Source organism: Homo sapiens, chromosome 11 (assembly GCF_000001405.40).
Source record: "Homo sapiens chromosome 11, GRCh38.p14 Primary Assembly".
Classification (NCBI taxonomy): Eukaryota; Metazoa; Chordata; class Mammalia; order Primates; family Hominidae; genus Homo; species Homo sapiens.
The window spans coordinates 44,581,037-44,597,960 of NC_000011.10; the positions used below are offsets into that span (position 1 = coordinate 44,581,037).

Consider the following 16,924-nt stretch of genomic DNA (forward strand, 5'->3'; position numbering starts at 1 on the left):
TACTCCAGCTGGCTAGGCTCTGGGATCAGTGTGCAAGCTGGTCACTGGTGCCTAATGTCACCCCAGAGTGTCTTCAGTTGGTTGGGTTTGGAAGCTGGGCCCTAAAACCCAATTAATCTAGGCTGGGCCTTGGTGGGGTAATTTTCATTACCTGTCATTTACAACTTTGTTTCTGCAGGCAGCATGGTGTGACAGTAAAGCTCAGGGGCTCTGGGAGGGTCAGATGTTGGGGTTCAACTCTCTGCCCAACCAGCAAGGTGACCTTGGGCAAGGCCCTTGACCACCCTGAGTCTCAGTTTCTGCAGTTGTACAATGGGGTGATGAGCAGTGGCTTATCTCATAGGATCATTGCAGGGATAAACTGAGCCACGTGAAGGACTTGGCACAATGTCTAGCTAGTAATCATGCAAACATGTTTGCGTTTGTCATTGTTAAACACTTGAGTCTGTGTTCTAGAGAGCCCCTTTTGTCCTTCAGAGGGAGATGCAGTCAGCAGGCTGCTTTGTATAATTGCTCATGTTCATGTCTGAGCCTCTCCAGACTGGGTGCTCCCTGAGGGCAGGGATGGGTTGGAGTCATCTGTTTCCTGTTTCACTCCAGCTCCGGGCCAACCTGGAGTGGGGATTCGGTGAACTGCAGTGGATGGTGGCTCAGGACAGAAACTGAGCGCAGAAGGGCCACTTGGGAGGCCCCTGGGAGGGCAGCCCCTCAGGCCCTCTGGATCATGAGCTGTGTATTCTAAGAGGAGAGGGTGCGGTTCCCTATGAGGTCCCCTCTGAGGGCTAGACCTGGTTCCATGTGCTGCTGTTCCATCTCGGCCCTCTGTGTCCACCTTCTTCATGGCTGGCTGGTGGAGGGAGAGAATTCTGAAATGCTGTGTGTTTGCTAAACCTGCAGGTGCCTGGCCCCACCCCCGGATGCTCTGATTTCACAGTCCTGGGACCAAGGCTTTGCCCCTTTAACACCTGGCTGCAGTGACCACCCTCTCTGCCTTGAGATTGCCTTGGTGGTGGGAAGTAATGGCACAAAGTCAGTAGGATATTGAACTCCAAAGTCAGAGAGTCTTGAGGGCAGAGCTCAGCTGCACCACTGTCCCCCCTGTGTGACCAGGGCCAGTGCCGCCACCCTCCTGAATCCCAGTGATCCTTCCTGGGGTTTGGGGCTGAATGAGATAAGATCAGTGAAGCAACACTCCCATTGTGGATGCTCTCATGAATGTTCCTTTTGCTCCTAGGTCTTTCCTCTGCCCAACCTCATTTCAAGTTCTTGGGTGGTGGTGACCTCCCTGGGGCAGTCTGCAGGAACCCTGTGTCCATCCCATGCCTCAAGGGACAATCTTTCTGCAACTTCCTTGCTCTGGGACCTAACAGGACCTATTCCCAGAATCCTCTGCCTCTGTCATGCTTACAGCCTTGGGTTTGGCACGCTGATTCTGGTTTCCTCTTGGAGGGTCCTAGATAGTCTGTTTTACAGATGAGAACACTGAGGCTCAATGCAGGTAGGCAGCTTGCCAGAGGTCATGTGGATACTGAGAAATGAGATTTGGAATTTAGATCTCTCTCAGGGCCCGTACTATCATCTGCTTCATTATTCTATCTCCAGTTGTGGCACTGGGAGAGGGCCTCAAAAGGTGGCTGACCCCTGAGACCCCACCTGGGAATCCTGTTTTCAGGGCCTCTGGAATCTGGGGCTTCTTGCAACCTCTCTTTAGCTCCTAAATATCCCTCTAGGTTAGAGCTTTCCGATCAATGAGCTGTTGAGATGGTTATCTCTGGAGCCCTTGAGAACAGAGCCCTAGGCTAGTAACCTCAAGCCAGATGTAGTTCTATCTGTCCATCCCAGTGTGCTGAACAAATAGGTATACTTCTCAACGTGTATCATGATGCCAAACAGGCTGGGAAACACTGACTGCCCTACCCAATCCCCTCCCTATCCCCCAACATACACAATGAACTTGTGCATTCCCCAGAAGGGGTGGGGGTAGGGGTTCATTTTCTTCTCTGGGCATCAGTCTTCATCTGAGAAGTGTGGGCTGAGCTAGTGATGTCAAAGGCCATTCCGGCACTGTGAATCTGAGTGTGAGTCTTGGCACCTAGCATTGGGAGGGAGTGGGGGCTGTCTGGGGCCCAAGCAGCTGGCTAAGAAGCCAAAAACAGTCAAGCAAGGGAGCTGTGGAAAGCAAGAGGTCAGAGGCTATGGCTCAGCCTCAGCTTGATTCTTTGGCTGCATGGGGTCCAGGCAGGAATGCTGGAGGGCTCCAGGTATCTGCTGGTTCCCACTCTGCACCCTCCTGTCAGAGAAGCCCCTTTCTTTATCTAAAGGCCCTCCAGTCTCATTGCTAGGGTTTCAAAGCAAAACCTCCTGAGAAGGGCCACATCTGTCAGTCTCATCAGCCAAACTGAAGGAATGTCCCAGTCAGGATTAGGTGGAGCTGCTCTTTTCCTTCCTGAAAGGAAGCTGAGAGTCAGGCCTCAGGGATCTGGGGTAGGGTCAGGGGATCAGGCAGCAGGCGGCAGAGGTGTGGAAGGGTGGGACGGTGGGCTGCAGCATTTACCTTGTTCATTTGGGCAGCAGGTGAAGATGAAAGAGCTTTCAGCTCTCTAAAATCAGATCTGAATTTTAATCATAGCTTAGCCACTTGTGTGGCCTTAGGCAAGTCACTGAACCTCTGAGTCTCAGTCCCTCTATCTGTTAAATGGGGATAATAATCTCTCAATAATCTCTCGTTTAATAATAATCCAGGGTGTTATGGAGATTGCATGGGATACAGTGGGTAATGGCATAATATTCAGGGATGGCTGCTGGCCTGTGTTGCTCTTGGACCCCTGGCCTCCTTTCCCCAAGTGTCAGCTGTCAATCCCAGCTCTCTCAGGAGAGAGGGAGCCTGTCTCACTGGTTCATGGGATCCTGTGACAGGGGACTCTTCCTTAATCTCTAAGACAAACAGGGAGGCACTTTGGGCTCTGAAATCCTGTGATTCCTGGGAAGGTCTGATTTGGATGTGTTTCTTCCCACCTTGGTGGTGGTGGTAGTGGCGGGATCTCCTCACTTTGTGGTGAGGAGCTGACAGTGACCCCAAAGCTCCTTCCATGTCATTTTCTGCTCCTCCAACAATCCCATGAGATGGGGATCCCACCAGCATCTTGCTGTTAGAGGTGGGAATGTTGGGGCTCAGAGGGGTTTAGTTACTCACTTGCTCAAGCTCACACAGCTAGGAGGAAGCAGAGCTGGGACTGAAGCCTAGGATTCTGTTTTTGTTTTTGTTTTGAGACAGAGTTTTGTTCTTGTTGCCTAGGCTGGAGTGCAGTGGCAGGATCTCAGCTCACTGCAACCTCTGCTTCCCGGGTTCAAGCAGTTCTCCTGCCTTAGCCTCCTGGGTAGCTGAGATTACAGGCACCCGCCACCATGCCCAGCTAATTTTTTGCATTTTTAGCAGAGATGGAGTTTCACCATATTGGCCAGGCTGGTCTCTAACTCCTGACCTCAGGTGATCTGCCCGCCTCGGCCTCCCAAAGTGCTGGGATTACAGGTGTGAGCCACTGTGCCTGGGCCAAACCCTAGGTCTTAAAGGAAACCTGAGGCCCTCGTCCTGCTTATGCTCACTCTTCTCCTGTCACCCAGAGTAGCAGCTATTTTTTTTTTTCTGGTGGGTGGGGGTTAATATCAACAATAAGAGTAAGACCAGAGATTGAAAAATAAGATAGTGAGAGGTCAAAAAGCCAGGCCCTGGTCCTGGTGTCAGCAGGGATTTCAGGAAACACATCACCTGTCAAACATGAAAACAAACACAGCCGTCTGTGCCCAGCCTCTTCCCGTGGGTGATCAGGACAAAGTCCAGAGGACCAGAGAGCTGGTGGCCAAGAACCAGCTTGCAGGTGGAGTGCCTGCAGATGGGCTGGCATCCAGGGCACAATAGCCCGGCCAGGCTTTCTCACTCCACTTTCTGCCCGACTGGGCAGACCGAGCTCCCACGGGATCGGATGCCCAACTCACCAAACTGGCTGGACCTCTGAGTCTCAAGCAGTTCCCAGTGGCACAGCCTGGAGGCTAGAGGCAGAGGCTCCTCCTTCCTTAGGCAGCCCAGCCTGGTCCTACTTCTCCCCCAGCCCCTTACCCAGGAGCAGCAGTGGTCATCTTCTGGCACGGAGCCTCTCCAGGATGGGCACATGGCTAGAGACTGGATCAGGCCTCAGAGGGCTTCAGACTGTTGGTCAGGAAAGCAACAACTTTTCCAGATCATCATCATCATCATCATAGTTGGTAACATTTATCTGACATTTACTGGGTGCCAGGAACTTTATAGATACAAACTCTTTAAGCCTGACCACAACCCATTATTAAGTTCATTTTACAGGTGGGAAAGCTGAGGCACAGTGGTAAGGTGATCACCCAAGGCTACACTGCTGGCAAGGTGTGGCAGATGTGGCATCTTTATGCAGGAAGAGTGGGAGGAGAGGGCCAGGCACCAGCATAGATTGTGCCCTACTATGCACTAGCCTGATGGCGATTCATCTTCATGCCTGCGGTAGGTGGGCGGGGTTGGCATCCCCATCTGTGGATAAGGGAGCAGCTCTGCAGTGTTTCCCAAGGTCATGTGGCAGATACCCGGCAGAGCCAGGGGTGGGAGCCAAGGGCCGGCTCTGTGATTCTGAGTCCAGTACTTCTTATCCCTCCCATGTGGGAGCCCCAGTGTGCAGGGACAGGGCCACAGGTAGAGAAAGGAGCTCCAGACTGGGAATCTTAAGTTCTCCACTTCATGCTTAGCCCAAGCTGCCTGTGCCACCTGCCATCTCTTGCTCTCTCTGCCTCCTCTGAAAAACGCAGTGATCTCAAAGTTCTTCTCATGCACAGTGATATTGCTCTGGGGTAACAGACTGGAGTAGAGGGAGCCTTGAGGCAGTCCAGGTTGAAAGATGGTGCAGGGAGCTTCATGTGACACTTTTTCGGATGCCAGAGTGCCAGGCAGATTCTCCCTGGCCAGGCGCTGCTGTACCAGAAACCCCAGGCCTGCCTGCACCCCACTGAGGAGCAGAGGGGCTGGCCTGTGTGAGGGATGGAGCCATGGCAGTGGGTCTCAATACACTGGAACCCCCTGGAGAACTGAAGAAACCCTGATGCCCAGGCTGCACCCCAGAACAACTCATCAGGGTCTCTGGCAGTGGGGGCCGGGCATCAACAACTTTCAGAACTCCTAGGGTAATTCCTGTGTGCAGCCAAGGCTGGGGACCACCACTCTAGGGCATTTAGGAGATGGCAGAAAAAACCTTGGCCCTCAGGTAGGCTTTCCAGGGCCTGTGACCTCCTGAAACTGGAAGGAAGTATGTGCCTGCCCGTCTGTGTGCATCTTTCTAGGGAGAGTTCACAGCTTCTGTCAGCTTTTCTGACCCAAAGGAGATTAAAATCCTTACTTGAACCCAGGCATTTGAGACAAGTCTGGGCAATAAAGTGAGACCCCATTTCTACAAAATAATCAGCCAGGCATCGTGGCGTGTACCTGTGGTCCCAACTCTATGGGAGGCTGAGGCAGGAGGATCACTTAAGCCCAGGAGGTTGAGGCTGCAGTGAGCTGTGTTTACACCATTGCACTCCAGCCTTGGTGACAGAGCAGAGTGAGGTCCTGTCTCAACAAATATATACATTTTAAAAAATCCTGTCTTAGGAGGAAGCAACCCATCTCTACCCCAATCCAGCGATATCATTCTAAGGATCAGAAACCTCCAGCTGCAGGATCAATTCTGGTCTAAGAAATCTTTCCTGATCTCTCTAGACCTCCCTTTTCTCTCCTGCTTCCTAAAAACATACATTGAGAGCTTCTTATACACAAGGCACTGTTCTAGGCTCTGGGAAACAGGGTGAGTGGCACAGGTGCAGCCCCTCCCCTTGAGGAGCCCATATTCTAGTGGCGGATGCAGATACACTAGTGAACAAATAGGCTAACTGCAGTGAGGGTGCCGTGTAACAACCCAGATGTCAACTCGGGCTGCTTCTTTGAGTCTCCTGGGGAGCCCAGCCCTACCCCTAGAGATCCTGATGACTTGGTTGGGGCAGGGGGCCTGGGCATGGCCTATGTTGATTGTAATGAGGAGCTGGAGTTGAGGCCTTCTGAATAGATTGGGTGTTTAGGGAGGGCCTTTGGGAGGAGGGATGTCAGCCTTCTGAGCCAAGGCTTGTGGGAAAATACGGGAAAAGAGTAATTCTGGCAGAGAAACCCTTTTGCAAAGGCCCTCAGGTAGGTATAAGGACCTGGGGCCTGATATACCAGGACAACAGGAAAGAGGCTACATGAGCCTGTGGGGGGAAGAGGACAGAGGAATGGCAACCCTGGCGGGGCCCCGCCGGCCACACGGGGAGCCTGGATTTAAAGTGAGTATGTCTTCAGCCACATTGCCTTTGGAGAGTCACAGACAGGAGTGACGAGATCTGGGTCGTGTTTTTCAGAGTCCTCCCTGCTGCTGTGTGGACGACACGTGGGCACAGGCAGAAGTGGGCCCTGTGACCAGCTGCACTGGTTTCGTGGAAGGTAAGTCCTGGGCTGAGAGGAGTGGTGGGTTGGAGGGGACACACTTGGGCTGTGAGGCGAGGAAGGTGGAGACCGAGCATGGCCCTCAGGTGTTCAGTCTGAGCCACCAGGTGGGTGGAGGGACCACTTCTTCCCCTTCTCTGGCTCCTACAGCATTTAGAGTCCTGGAGTGCTGGTCCCTGGGGAGGCTCGGCAGCAGGTCCTGGCATTCAGAGCTGGCCCAGGGTTGAGCACCTGACACACCCCCAACCTGCCCTGCGGGCAAGGACAGAAGAGGCCTGAGAACCGTCTCTTCGGACTCAGGGGCAGTGGAACTCAGACTGCCTTCAGGTGGCCGAGAACTTGAAAGCCCTGGTGTTCTTTGTGGCAGTCCCTCCATCTGTCTGTCCATCCATCCATCCACCTACCTACCCCTCCATCCCTGCATCCACCCAGTCTTTCATGCAGCAATATTTGTTGGGAGTCTGCCTTGTTCTCGTAAATAACAGTCTTCCCGTCAAGGTATCACAGTCCTCAGGGGAAAGGGACAGGTAAGTAGAAAGTGACTGCACAGCATGCGTTATAGGAACTGCCGTCTATCCACAGCAGACCATGTGGCAGGCATTTTGCCCTAATTTAATGTCTGGACAAATCTGCAAAGTAGGATTTTGGGGTTTTTTTTTTGTTTTTTGTTTTTTGTTTTTTTTAGGTGGAGTCTCACTCTGTCACCCAGGCTGGAGTGCAGAGGTGCGATCTTGGCTCACTGCCACCTCCACCTCCTGGGTTCAAGCAATTCCTCTTCCTCAGCCTCCCAAGTAGCCGGGACTGCAGGCACCCGCCACCATGCCCAGCTAAGTTTTGTATTTTTAATAGAGATGGGGTTTCACCATGTTGGCCAGGCTGGTCTCGAACTCCTGACCTCGTGATCCGCCCGCCTCGACCTCCCAAAGTGCTGGGGTTACAGGCTTGAGCCACCGTACCCAGCCTGCAAAATAAGTTTTATCTTTGTCATTTCACCAATGAGTAAAGTGAGGCTCAGAGAGGTTAAGTCACTTGTCCAAGGTCACACAGCTAGGAGGCATTAGAACTGCATTCAAATCCAAGGCAGCCTGATGCCAGAGCCTGTTCAGGGAGCTGCTCTAGTCTCCAGTGCCACTGGAAGGAAGGAGAGAGGGAGTGCCCCTAACCAACATGTGTCTTGGGGGTCAGAGGGTGGCAGTGGTAGTGATGAAAAAGCTGGCTGGAGTAGGAAGTTTCCTGGAGGTGGTGATTTTGGAGGTGAGTGTTAAATGATAAGTAGAAGTTGGCAAAATATTAATATAATAATTTTATTATACAAACTGATTTGGCATAAAATGATATATTTCGTCAATTAAAATTGTAGTTGCTCAGAAATGGTCAATTTACCTGGTGTCAAGTATAACATAAGATCAGCACCTCACCAGGAACGGTGGCTCACGCCTATAATCCCAGCACTTTGGGAGGCCTAGGCAGGTGTATCACCTGAGGTTAAGAGTTCAAGACCAGCCTGGCCAACACGGCAAAACCCTGTCTCTATTAATACACAAAAGTTAGCCGGGCATGATGGCACATGCCTGTAATCCCAGCTACTCTGGAGGCTGAAGCAGGAGAATCACTTGACCCTAGGAGACGGAGGTTGCCATGAGCCAAGATTGTGCCACTGCACTCCAGCCTGGGTGACAGAGCAAGAGCAAGAGTGCCTCAAAACAACCACCACCACCATAACAAAGATCAGTACCTCCATCCTGCTGCTCACAGCTCTCTGTGACTGTTCTGGAAGTTTCCCATTAAGATGTGCTTGCATCTCATTCCCTTGAATTGTCAGTGTTTTTAACACAGGAAAGCTTGGGCAGACTCTCCAATGTTTACCAAAAGTATACACAAGAAAGCATAACATTGGAGGACATTCTTTTGGCTTAAGATCATCTGTAAATTAAATCCTCATCCCTTGCTGCTTCTGCAAGCACTGAGCCAACTGATGATGATGATACAGACACCAGCCCCAGCTCCGGGTCATTGAGTCCTGACTGTACCAGGCGCTGACCTCACTCCCTCTTTAGGACGGGAGTCCAGTTGGGAGTTCCACTCCCCAAGGAGATGAATGAGGCCCAGGAAGTCCCTCCTCTGTGGCCACACATTGGCAAAGCCAGGATTTGAACCCTTGTTCAGGGATCCTGTGTCTTCTCTCTCTAAGTCACAATCAATTCCTGCCACCCAGCTGGCTGTTTTCTTTCTCCAAAGTTCCCGTGCTAAGGGTAGTCGTGACCCTTGCTGCCTCTTCGTTTTGTTTTTTTTGAGACGGGGTCTCGCTCTGTCGCCCAGGCTGGAGTGCAGTGGCGCGATCTCGGCTCACTGCAAGTTCCACCTCCTGGGTTTACACCATTCTCCTGCCTCAGCCTCCCAAGTAGCTGGGACTACAGGCGCCCGCCACCACGCCTGGCTAATTTTTTGTATTTTTAGTAGAGACAGGGTTTCACCGTATTAGTCAGGATGGTCTCGATCTCCTCACCTCGTGATCTGCCTGCCTCAGCCTCCCAAAGTGCTGGGATTACAGGTGTGAGCCACCGCGCCTGGCGACCCTTGCTGCCTCTTACAGACACTTGTGGGTGCGCCATTTGATCCTCTACACCAGGGGCCAGCAGGCTTTTTCTGTAAAGGGCCAGATAGACCAGTAGGCATGGCTGTGTGCAGAAATTTAGATTCCATGTAATTTTCATGCATTAAAGAATCTTTTTATTTTTCTTTTAACTATTTAAAAATATGAAATCTGGGCCGGGCACAGTGGCTCACGTCTGTAATCCCAGCACTTTAGGAGGCCGAGGCAGGTGGATCACGAGGTCAGGAGATCGAGACCATCCTGGCTAACACAGTGAAACCCGTCTCTACTAAAAATACAAAAACAAAATTATTCAGGCATGGTGGCGGGCGCCTGTAGTCCCAGCTACTTGGGAGGCTGAGGCAGGAGAATGGCGTGAACCCAGGAGGCGGAGCTTGCAGTGAGCCAAGATTGTGCCTCTGCCCTCCAGCCTGGGCAACAGAGGGAGATTCTGTCTCAAAAAAAAAAAAAAAAAAAAGATGAAATCTGTTCTTAGCTCAGAAGCTGTATAAAAAACAGGCAGGGGGCTGGATTTGGTCTGCAGGCTGCAGTTTACCAACCCTGGTTCCACACCAACCCTTATTTCTGTCTCATGGATGGCAGACTGAGGCTCAGCTCTCAGTATGGGAGGGCAGAGCCGGGCATAACCCCTGGCACTCTGAATTCAACCTCGGGGGCTCCTTGGAGCTTGGTGGTGGTTGTGGATTCCTTGAAGTTGATGCCACAGCCCATCGTGGGTGACCTGGGTGTGTCCCCGCCTCAGGCTGAGCTGACTTCCTTGCCTGTGTGGGATTGCCCATCTCCCGCTGAGTGTGGAGAATGTTCTTCACCCTCTGCTCCCTGTCAGTTTGAGGCAGAAGCATCTGCACTTGCAGGGCAGGAAGACTTTGTCTTCTGGATCTTGGCCAGTGTGCCTGGGAGCTGCCCATCCCAGGTTCCAGTTATCAGCACCTTCTCCTCCCTCGGGTGATGTCCAGATACCTCTGGGTCTGTCCCACTTGACTGGGCTGCCTGGCTCTCATTTCAGCCTCTGGACCCACCCAGCTGCCTCCTGTGTGGGATGGAGCCCATGGGTGGTGTAAGGGGCCAGGCAGCCTGGGCCCTGTCCTTGCCAGTCCTCCTACTTGAGACCTTGGGCAGGCTCCTTCTCCCCTCTGTGCCTCTGTTTGCATGTAGAGGGCTGAAGAGCTTAGCCCAGTGCCTGATACAATCTGTGTGCGTGACCAAGGGACCAGCCAAGCTTGCCCAGGGTCTGGAATATCATGGGAATACCAGCCCAGCCACGTCTGCCTTGGTGACAAGGTTTCCCAGCCTCCTCCTTGCCCTCTGAGCAGAGCTCCTCTGAGCAGTCATTTTGTCCTCACACCTAACTGGACAAAGGAAACCCAGCCGTCCCCAAAGATCCCTTTATAATCCTGGCTACTGTCCAGGAGGGACCACTTCACAGAAGAAAGATCTTGGGGTCTGAAAACCACTGCCACTTATGACCTGTGTGACTTGGGCAAGTTACTGAACCTGTCTGAGCCTCTGGTCTGCCAGGGATAGGAATACTCACTTCCTGGGCTGGTTGTGAGGATGATGGGGGATGATGTCTGAACATGGCCACTTGTAGTAGTTGCTATTCCCTGGCGGCCACTCCTTCTCCTTACAGACGTCATACTTACTCTTATTTTTGTTTTTATTTTTTTTGAGACAAAGTCTCTGTTGCCCAGGCTGGAGTGCAGTGGCGCAATCTCAGCTCACTGCAACCTCCACCTCCTGGGTTCAAGCGATTCTTGTGCCTCAGCCTCCTGAGTAGCTGGGATTACAGGCACCCACCCCCACGCCTGGCTAATTTTGTATTTTTAGTAGAGATGGGGTTTCACCATGTTGGCCAGGCTGGTCTCGAACTCCTGACCTCAGGTCTTCTGCCAGTCTCGGCCTCCCAAAGTGCTGGGATTACAGGCATGAGATACCGTGCCCGGCCTATACTTATTCTTTTCTAAAAGCTGCCCTTTGCTGAATGCCCCACCGTGAGGCTGAGCAGAGGATGTGTGAGCTGGAAAGTGTAGAAACCCCTTTCCCGGACTTTCTGAAACTGCAACACCGTGGATCTGACTCAGGGTTGCCAAAGAACTCTTTCCACACTTCTGCAATTTCACAAGGATGCCAATGGCCCCATTGCCAAGACGCATAGTTTGTTGGCGGACTGCAGTTAGTGGATGTTCTTCTGGTGAAGGGGTGGCCTAGCTACTGCTGCTTGGGCGCTGAACCTGGTTGGTCTCTTGGGGCATGCCCCGTATTGTTTACTGGGAGGAGACCTGGTCAGGCTGAAACACAGCAGATCCGTGGTAGGAAAGAAGAACAGATGCCGCCTGGCTTTGGGAGAGAATCTCTCTTCTCTTGCTGTTTAGTTCCTGGAGTCTGTGAAGTGCCTGTGGTATGTCAGGCTCTGTGCTGGGAGGTGAGAGAGAGGAAAAACAATAGCTATCCTTGATGTAGTGCAGACTCCCAGGAGGCCTTCCTAGGCCAGGACGGGGTTTGGGCATTGAAGATCTCTGGCTTCCTGGGCACGGGGAAGTCATGTTTTCTCCTCTCTAGGTCTGGGGAGTTGCCCAGGTTGCACTGCCCTGGCTCCCGAGTCACTGCCATCTCTGCAATTCTCAGACCCAGGCCTTGGAGCCCCCTAGACTGGAAGAGCCATTTAGTCTAATCTCCCTACATAGCACTTAAATCCCCCAGGAGTATTTTTTTAGACTTTGCTTCCATGCCGCTTGTGATGGGAAGCTCACTACCACCCAGGCAGCTTTTTCCTAACTTGGGCAGCTTTGCTTCATATTATACCTCCCAAATCTGCCCTTTAAAAAGGCACTTAAAGAAAACTTCCTGTAACAAAGCTGTTAGAGGAAAGAAAACTGGACTGGACCCCTTGGGAGGTCATGAACCCTCCTCATTAGCCACCTTCCCCATCACCGGAGGTGTGTGAAGTGGAAGCTGAGCTCCCACTTGACAAGGAGGATGGAAGATTGTTGATCGTTAGCATGTCCAGAAAAGAGTAGGGAACCTGTGTGTAGCCGGGGAAATTGAAGACTTTCAAGTGGTGCTGGAGGAAGAAGGAGTGAAGCCCGGGCCTCCGGCTTTCCTTTCCCTTTGCTCTGTGGCCTGCCCTTCCCCCTCCATAAGGCAGGGAAACACAAGTGGGCCTGGTGCCGTCCCCTCCACCCCCCCAGCCCAGCTCTGCCCATGCAGCTGTCCCAGGCCAGCTGTCCAGGCCCCAGCTGCCCGGCGGTGCTGGCTCCCTTTGCCCCAAAGGGTCTGAAGGCTGGCGGCTGGCACTCCTGGATTTTCTGGCCTCTGAGTCAGGGTGAGAACAGTCAGCTTCCAGCTTCCCTCTTCCTCCCGGGGCCCTCCCCTCACCTGGGGTCTTTTGGAGTGGAGGGGGCACAGCATGCCCAAGCATGGTTTGTGTCATTTCAGAAGCACAACTTGTGTCATCGGGGAGACTGTGAAAACTTGGAAACAACCTGTGTGTCCAATCTTAGAGTATCAGTTAAATGCTTTTATGGGATGGCCACATCTGAGACTTTAACCTGGGGCCACTGGGGTTCCTGAATGGGTTTCAGAGGTCCATGAACTCCCAGAAATTATTAGCATCACAAAATGCTAACTACACATGAATTTTTTGGGGGACTCTGTGAGCCCCCAAATGTTAATAAGTACTAATAGGATGGAATCCTATGCAACATGTGAAACTATGAAGAGCATTTTATCAACATATAGAGAGTGAAGATTGTAGAATGAAAAAAACAGGCTAGAAAACACTATACAGAATGAGCCCAATTTTGATTAGAACCATTTGTTATACACACACACACACACACACACGAATAATAGCTACTAAAACGATGACAGTTTTTAATCTCTGGAGTGAGATACATTTTGCTTGATTTCTGTTTTTCTGTATTTGTTGGGTGTTCTACAATGCATGTTTATTCCCTTTGTAATAAGAAGCTGGGACGCTCAGCCTATTTTCTGAGAAGCCAAAATTCCCCTTCTCGCCTTGGCAGACCCCACAACTCCCAGCCCCTAGTCCCAGAGGGAGTCTGTGGAACAAGCACAGGTCTCACCTCTGGGTCTCTGTCAATGGATCACTAACTTCCCGGCCCCCTGACTTCAAACAGAGTCCATCTGTGCAAGTTCCAGAGCCTGGGTCATGGAGGTGAGGGGTGAGGGTCTCCCTCTGTCATTTTGCTCCCACCAGCCCCAGCCCCAGCCCCAGCCCCAGTGCAGTGGCTGATCCGGATCCTAACTGCCAAGCATCAAGTGCCTGGCACACAAGACTGCTCGTGGGACCTCATTTCCTAGCTGTGTGGCTTTGGGCTAGTTGTCTAACCTCTCTGGGCCTCTGCATCCTCTAAGGCAGGGACAGGGTTAGTACCCACCTCCTGGGGTTGCTGCAAGGGCAGACTGAGCTGATCCCCTCACTGGCCTGCCTGCCTTCTCTCTTCCAGGAAGCTCCAGGACTGGCGGGATGGGCTCAGCCTGTATCAAAGTCACCAAATACTTTCTCTTCCTCTTCAACTTGATCTTCTTTGTAAGTATGTCCCATGCCGTCCTGACCACCTCCGAAAAGATTCTCCTTCCAGGGGCATCCCAGCCTGAGCCTTTCCAGAGCCGACCGGGCCGGGGATTGGGGGGATTTGGTGGGTAGGGACTGAGGACGAACTATCTCCAACGGAACCTAGTTGGGGTGGTGAGGAGATTCCCTGCCATTCCCAGCTGGTCCTTTGACCAAGCACTGGATTCCTGACCCGGCCTTCCCCTCTCCTAGATCACCCAAAGCCTGGGCTGGCGGTGGGTATGGGGAAGGAGAGGAGAGCCCCTGGGCATCCCCCTAACTCAACAGCAGGAGCTGCTAGAAGAAGCCTCTTAGCATCTCTCTAGTCCTGTCCTGGCCCCCACCCTGCCCATGTGAAGAATTGACCTGTGACAGTTCCAGGCCCCAGTTGCCCCTATCACACCCCCGTCCCTGTCGTGGGAAGGTATCTCCCTGAGCTCTCATAGGGAGAGCAAGAGGGCGCCAGGCGTGGGGCCAGTGAAGGGCACATACCTCCTTCCCCAGACCCACCCCAGCAGATGGGCCATCCGGATGTCAGCTCTGTGGACATTGACTGCTGGTTTTCCTGGGGCCTCGGTTTTCCTCTCTGGCCTGGCATGGACTGCCTCTTGCCTTGGAGTTGCTGGGATGGTGGGGTGTGTGTGTGAGTGAGAGTGTGTTGTTGGGGGGCAGTGCCCTGGAGAGGACTTCATAGCCTCAGAGTAGTGTTGGGAGCGCTGGCTTCCCTGTGTTGACGGTTTAACCCTATAGTGTTAAAAAAAAATCAGGTTGTACAGTAGGATGTTTCTTATGATCCAAAGTTTTAAATGTACGTATTCATTAAAAAGTGAGTATTTTTGAGAGGAGAAGAAAATACCTCAATGTTAATGTTGGGATTCTTGGGAATTTTGATTTTATTCTTTATGCATCTCTGTATTTTCCCAATTTTCTACGGTAGATATTAATTACTTGTTTGGGGAACAGGGGGTTTACATTACAAGTTACATAGTTTATGGGAAGTTTGGGAAATAAACAAGAATCATTCTAAATTCCCCTTCTGGCCAGACATGGTAGGTCTTGCCTGTAATCCCAGTGCTTTGGGAGGCCAAGGCAGGAGGATTGTTTGAGTCCAGGAGTTCTAGACCAGCTTGGGCAACATAGCAAGACCCTGTTTCTCTACAAAAAAAAAAAAAAAAAAAAAAAGAATTTTAAAAATTCCCCCTTCACAGCTTTAACCCAATGCACAGACATGTACAATGTGTTCCTGGCACCCGCACACAAGTGTTCATACACGCATGCACACACACAGGAAGCCCTGGCGCTGCCTGCCTTGCTTTTTTTCCACCCTGGCCCCGGCCCTAGCTCCCTCCTGGAGGACCCTGTGAGGCCCCACTGTGGCTCTGGCCCTCTGCTCATGGCAGCCGGGCCTGGAACCCACCCCAGGCCGGGCTTGGGCTTCCCCAGCTTGGCGGTCAGGTCTCTCCTGGCTGCCCTAGGACTTTGGGAAGCAGCTGCCTGTGCAGGCAAAGCCAAGCTTTTCCTGGCAAGCACTTGGTGTCTGGGCGGAGACCCAGCATAAAGGCCAATGGGCCAGGACTCGGGGGAAGGGGTGCGTGGGCACTGTAGCTCTATCCCTGGGGGCTTTAGGGACTAGAGAGAGGAGCCTGGGCTCTGGCCTAGGAGATCACGGAGCTTGGGTTTCAGTGATAAAGAAACTTTCCTTCATGCAGTGGGGGTTGGGGAGACCCTCATAGAGAAAGGGAGTGGGGTTGGTGGTTTCAGCCAGGGTGGCCCTTTCTGTCCTGCTCGCAAGTTGCCCTGTGGAACCAGGGACTGGAAAAGCTGCTCTCTGGCCAGGGCTTGGCCTCCTTTTGGCTCCTCCAGGGGCTGGCAGGAGTCAGGTGTTAACTGTCTGTGTACTGGGGCCTAGGATGACCCATCAGGATGGTGGAGGGGGGAGGGGCAGCTTGTATGACAGGAGGGTGAGAGTGAAAGAGGAGGGCTGGAGGAGGCAGAACGGGCTTGTTTACTCCTCAGCAAATGTGTATCTGACACCTCAGCATCTTCAGATGTTCAGGGCGGAAGAGCCCTGATTGCTATACTTCCGGAGCTTGTGTCCTAGGGAGCAGTGGGCTTCCATCAAATAACTACTCAAATGCATGAAAAATTGCAGTTGTTGGGGGTACTAGGAACAGATAGGCTCTTCGGAAAGCAGATGAGGCTCTTGGCCTGGTCATGGAGGTCAGCAAAGGCTTCCTGGGGTTCTGGGTGTGGCTTTGGAGAGGGGGATCCTGGCAGCAGGGGCAGCCGGTGGAGGCAGAGTGCACCTCCCCAGGCATAGACCCGGCCAGCCTGCCTCTTTGTTTTATGCACATTGGGAGGGGTTTCGTGGTTGGATTTGTGGTTTGGAAAAATCCCCGTGGCTGCTATGTGTGCTCGCGCCTGCGTGCATGTGCACCTGTATGTCTTTGCCTGTACTCCCTCTGGACTCCAGACTCCCCAGCGCATTGCCACTTTTCTCAGGTCCAAAGGAATGCAGAGGCACTGGTGCTGTGGCTATGCTGGGGAAGGACGCTCACTGCTCTGAGGGTCCTGGCTCCTGATGGGTCCCATCTGGGGATTGGGGAAGGGCTGGGGGAGTGATTAACATGGGGCCTGCCCCACAGCTCCAGTCTTGGTTCACAGAGAAAAAGGGGGTGCCATGGTGCCTTGCCCATTCTGGTAGGCTGCCCAGCCTCCTTTCTGGCTCTGCCACAGCCCCGTGGCTAATCCAGCCACATCTGACCATCAGGCTGGGGTCATCAGACCTACAGAGGGACTGAATGGGTAGCCCCGGGGACTTTGCTCTCTGGGTTCCTCTTGGCAAGCTGAGGAGCCAGCTGAGTAGTGTGGGGTTTTGATCTACTTGGGATTATGTGTGCCAAGAGGGGATTTTCTGTCCTGCCTCCCATTCCCTTTTGGTAGGGGCTGTCCTCCCTCCTGTCCCACCCTGTGAATGTGGGAGGGAATGGGGCAGGGGCTCTGCCCACATGGGTCTGAGATGCAGAGGGAGCAGACGTGGGCCTGAGCACTGGCCCCTGCCTCGCTGTGCTGTGGGGTGGTTGTGGGCTGGGTAGGGTTGCAGGTCTTGGGGAACCAAACTCCCAGGTCCTGGAAAGCCCCCATTTCCCCCAGCTGTGCAAATTAAGGTGGACCCACCTTCCAGCAGACTCTTCTCCTCCCCAGTGTCTCA

The 16,924-nt window shown here is 52.7% G+C and overlaps 1 protein-coding gene across 6 annotated transcripts in view, besides 3 other annotated features; it reads left to right on the top strand.

Annotated features, from left to right (window-relative positions):
* The window catches only part of CD82 (CD82 molecule), a 55,950-nt gene that overhangs the window by 16,628 nt on the left and 22,398 nt on the right, over nucleotides 1-16,924 (top strand). For all 6 annotated transcript variants that reach the window (XM_047426900.1, XM_047426901.1, XM_047426903.1 and 3 more), the window contains 2 exons: nucleotides 6,439-6,520; nucleotides 13,607-13,689. In XM_047426900.1, the coding sequence (XP_047282856.1) occupies nucleotides 6,439-6,520; nucleotides 13,607-13,689 (165 nt within the window). The remainder of the gene's footprint in view (nucleotides 1-6,438; nucleotides 6,521-13,606; nucleotides 13,690-16,924) is intronic.
* Nucleotides 15,187-15,765: an enhancer, noted in NCBI's record as "H3K4me1 hESC enhancer chr11:44617773-44618351 (GRCh37/hg19 assembly coordinates)". NCBI's record gives its function as "activates a minimal SCP1, AML or CMV promoter by ChIP-STARR-seq in naive H9 embryonic stem cells {active_cell/tissue: H9 hESC(naive)}" and the evidence as "EXISTENCE:reporter gene assay evidence [ECO:0000049][PMID:30033119]".
* Nucleotides 15,766-16,345: an enhancer, noted in NCBI's record as "H3K4me1 hESC enhancer chr11:44618352-44618931 (GRCh37/hg19 assembly coordinates)". NCBI's record gives its function as "activates a minimal SCP1, AML or CMV promoter by ChIP-STARR-seq in naive H9 embryonic stem cells {active_cell/tissue: H9 hESC(naive)}" and the evidence as "EXISTENCE:reporter gene assay evidence [ECO:0000049][PMID:30033119]".
* Nucleotides 15,769-16,008: an enhancer, noted in NCBI's record as "active region_4658". NCBI's record gives its function as "activates an Ori minimal core promoter by ATAC-STARR-seq in GM12878 lymphoblastoid cells {active_cell/tissue: GM12878}" and the evidence as "EXISTENCE:reporter gene assay evidence [ECO:0000049][PMID:35858748]".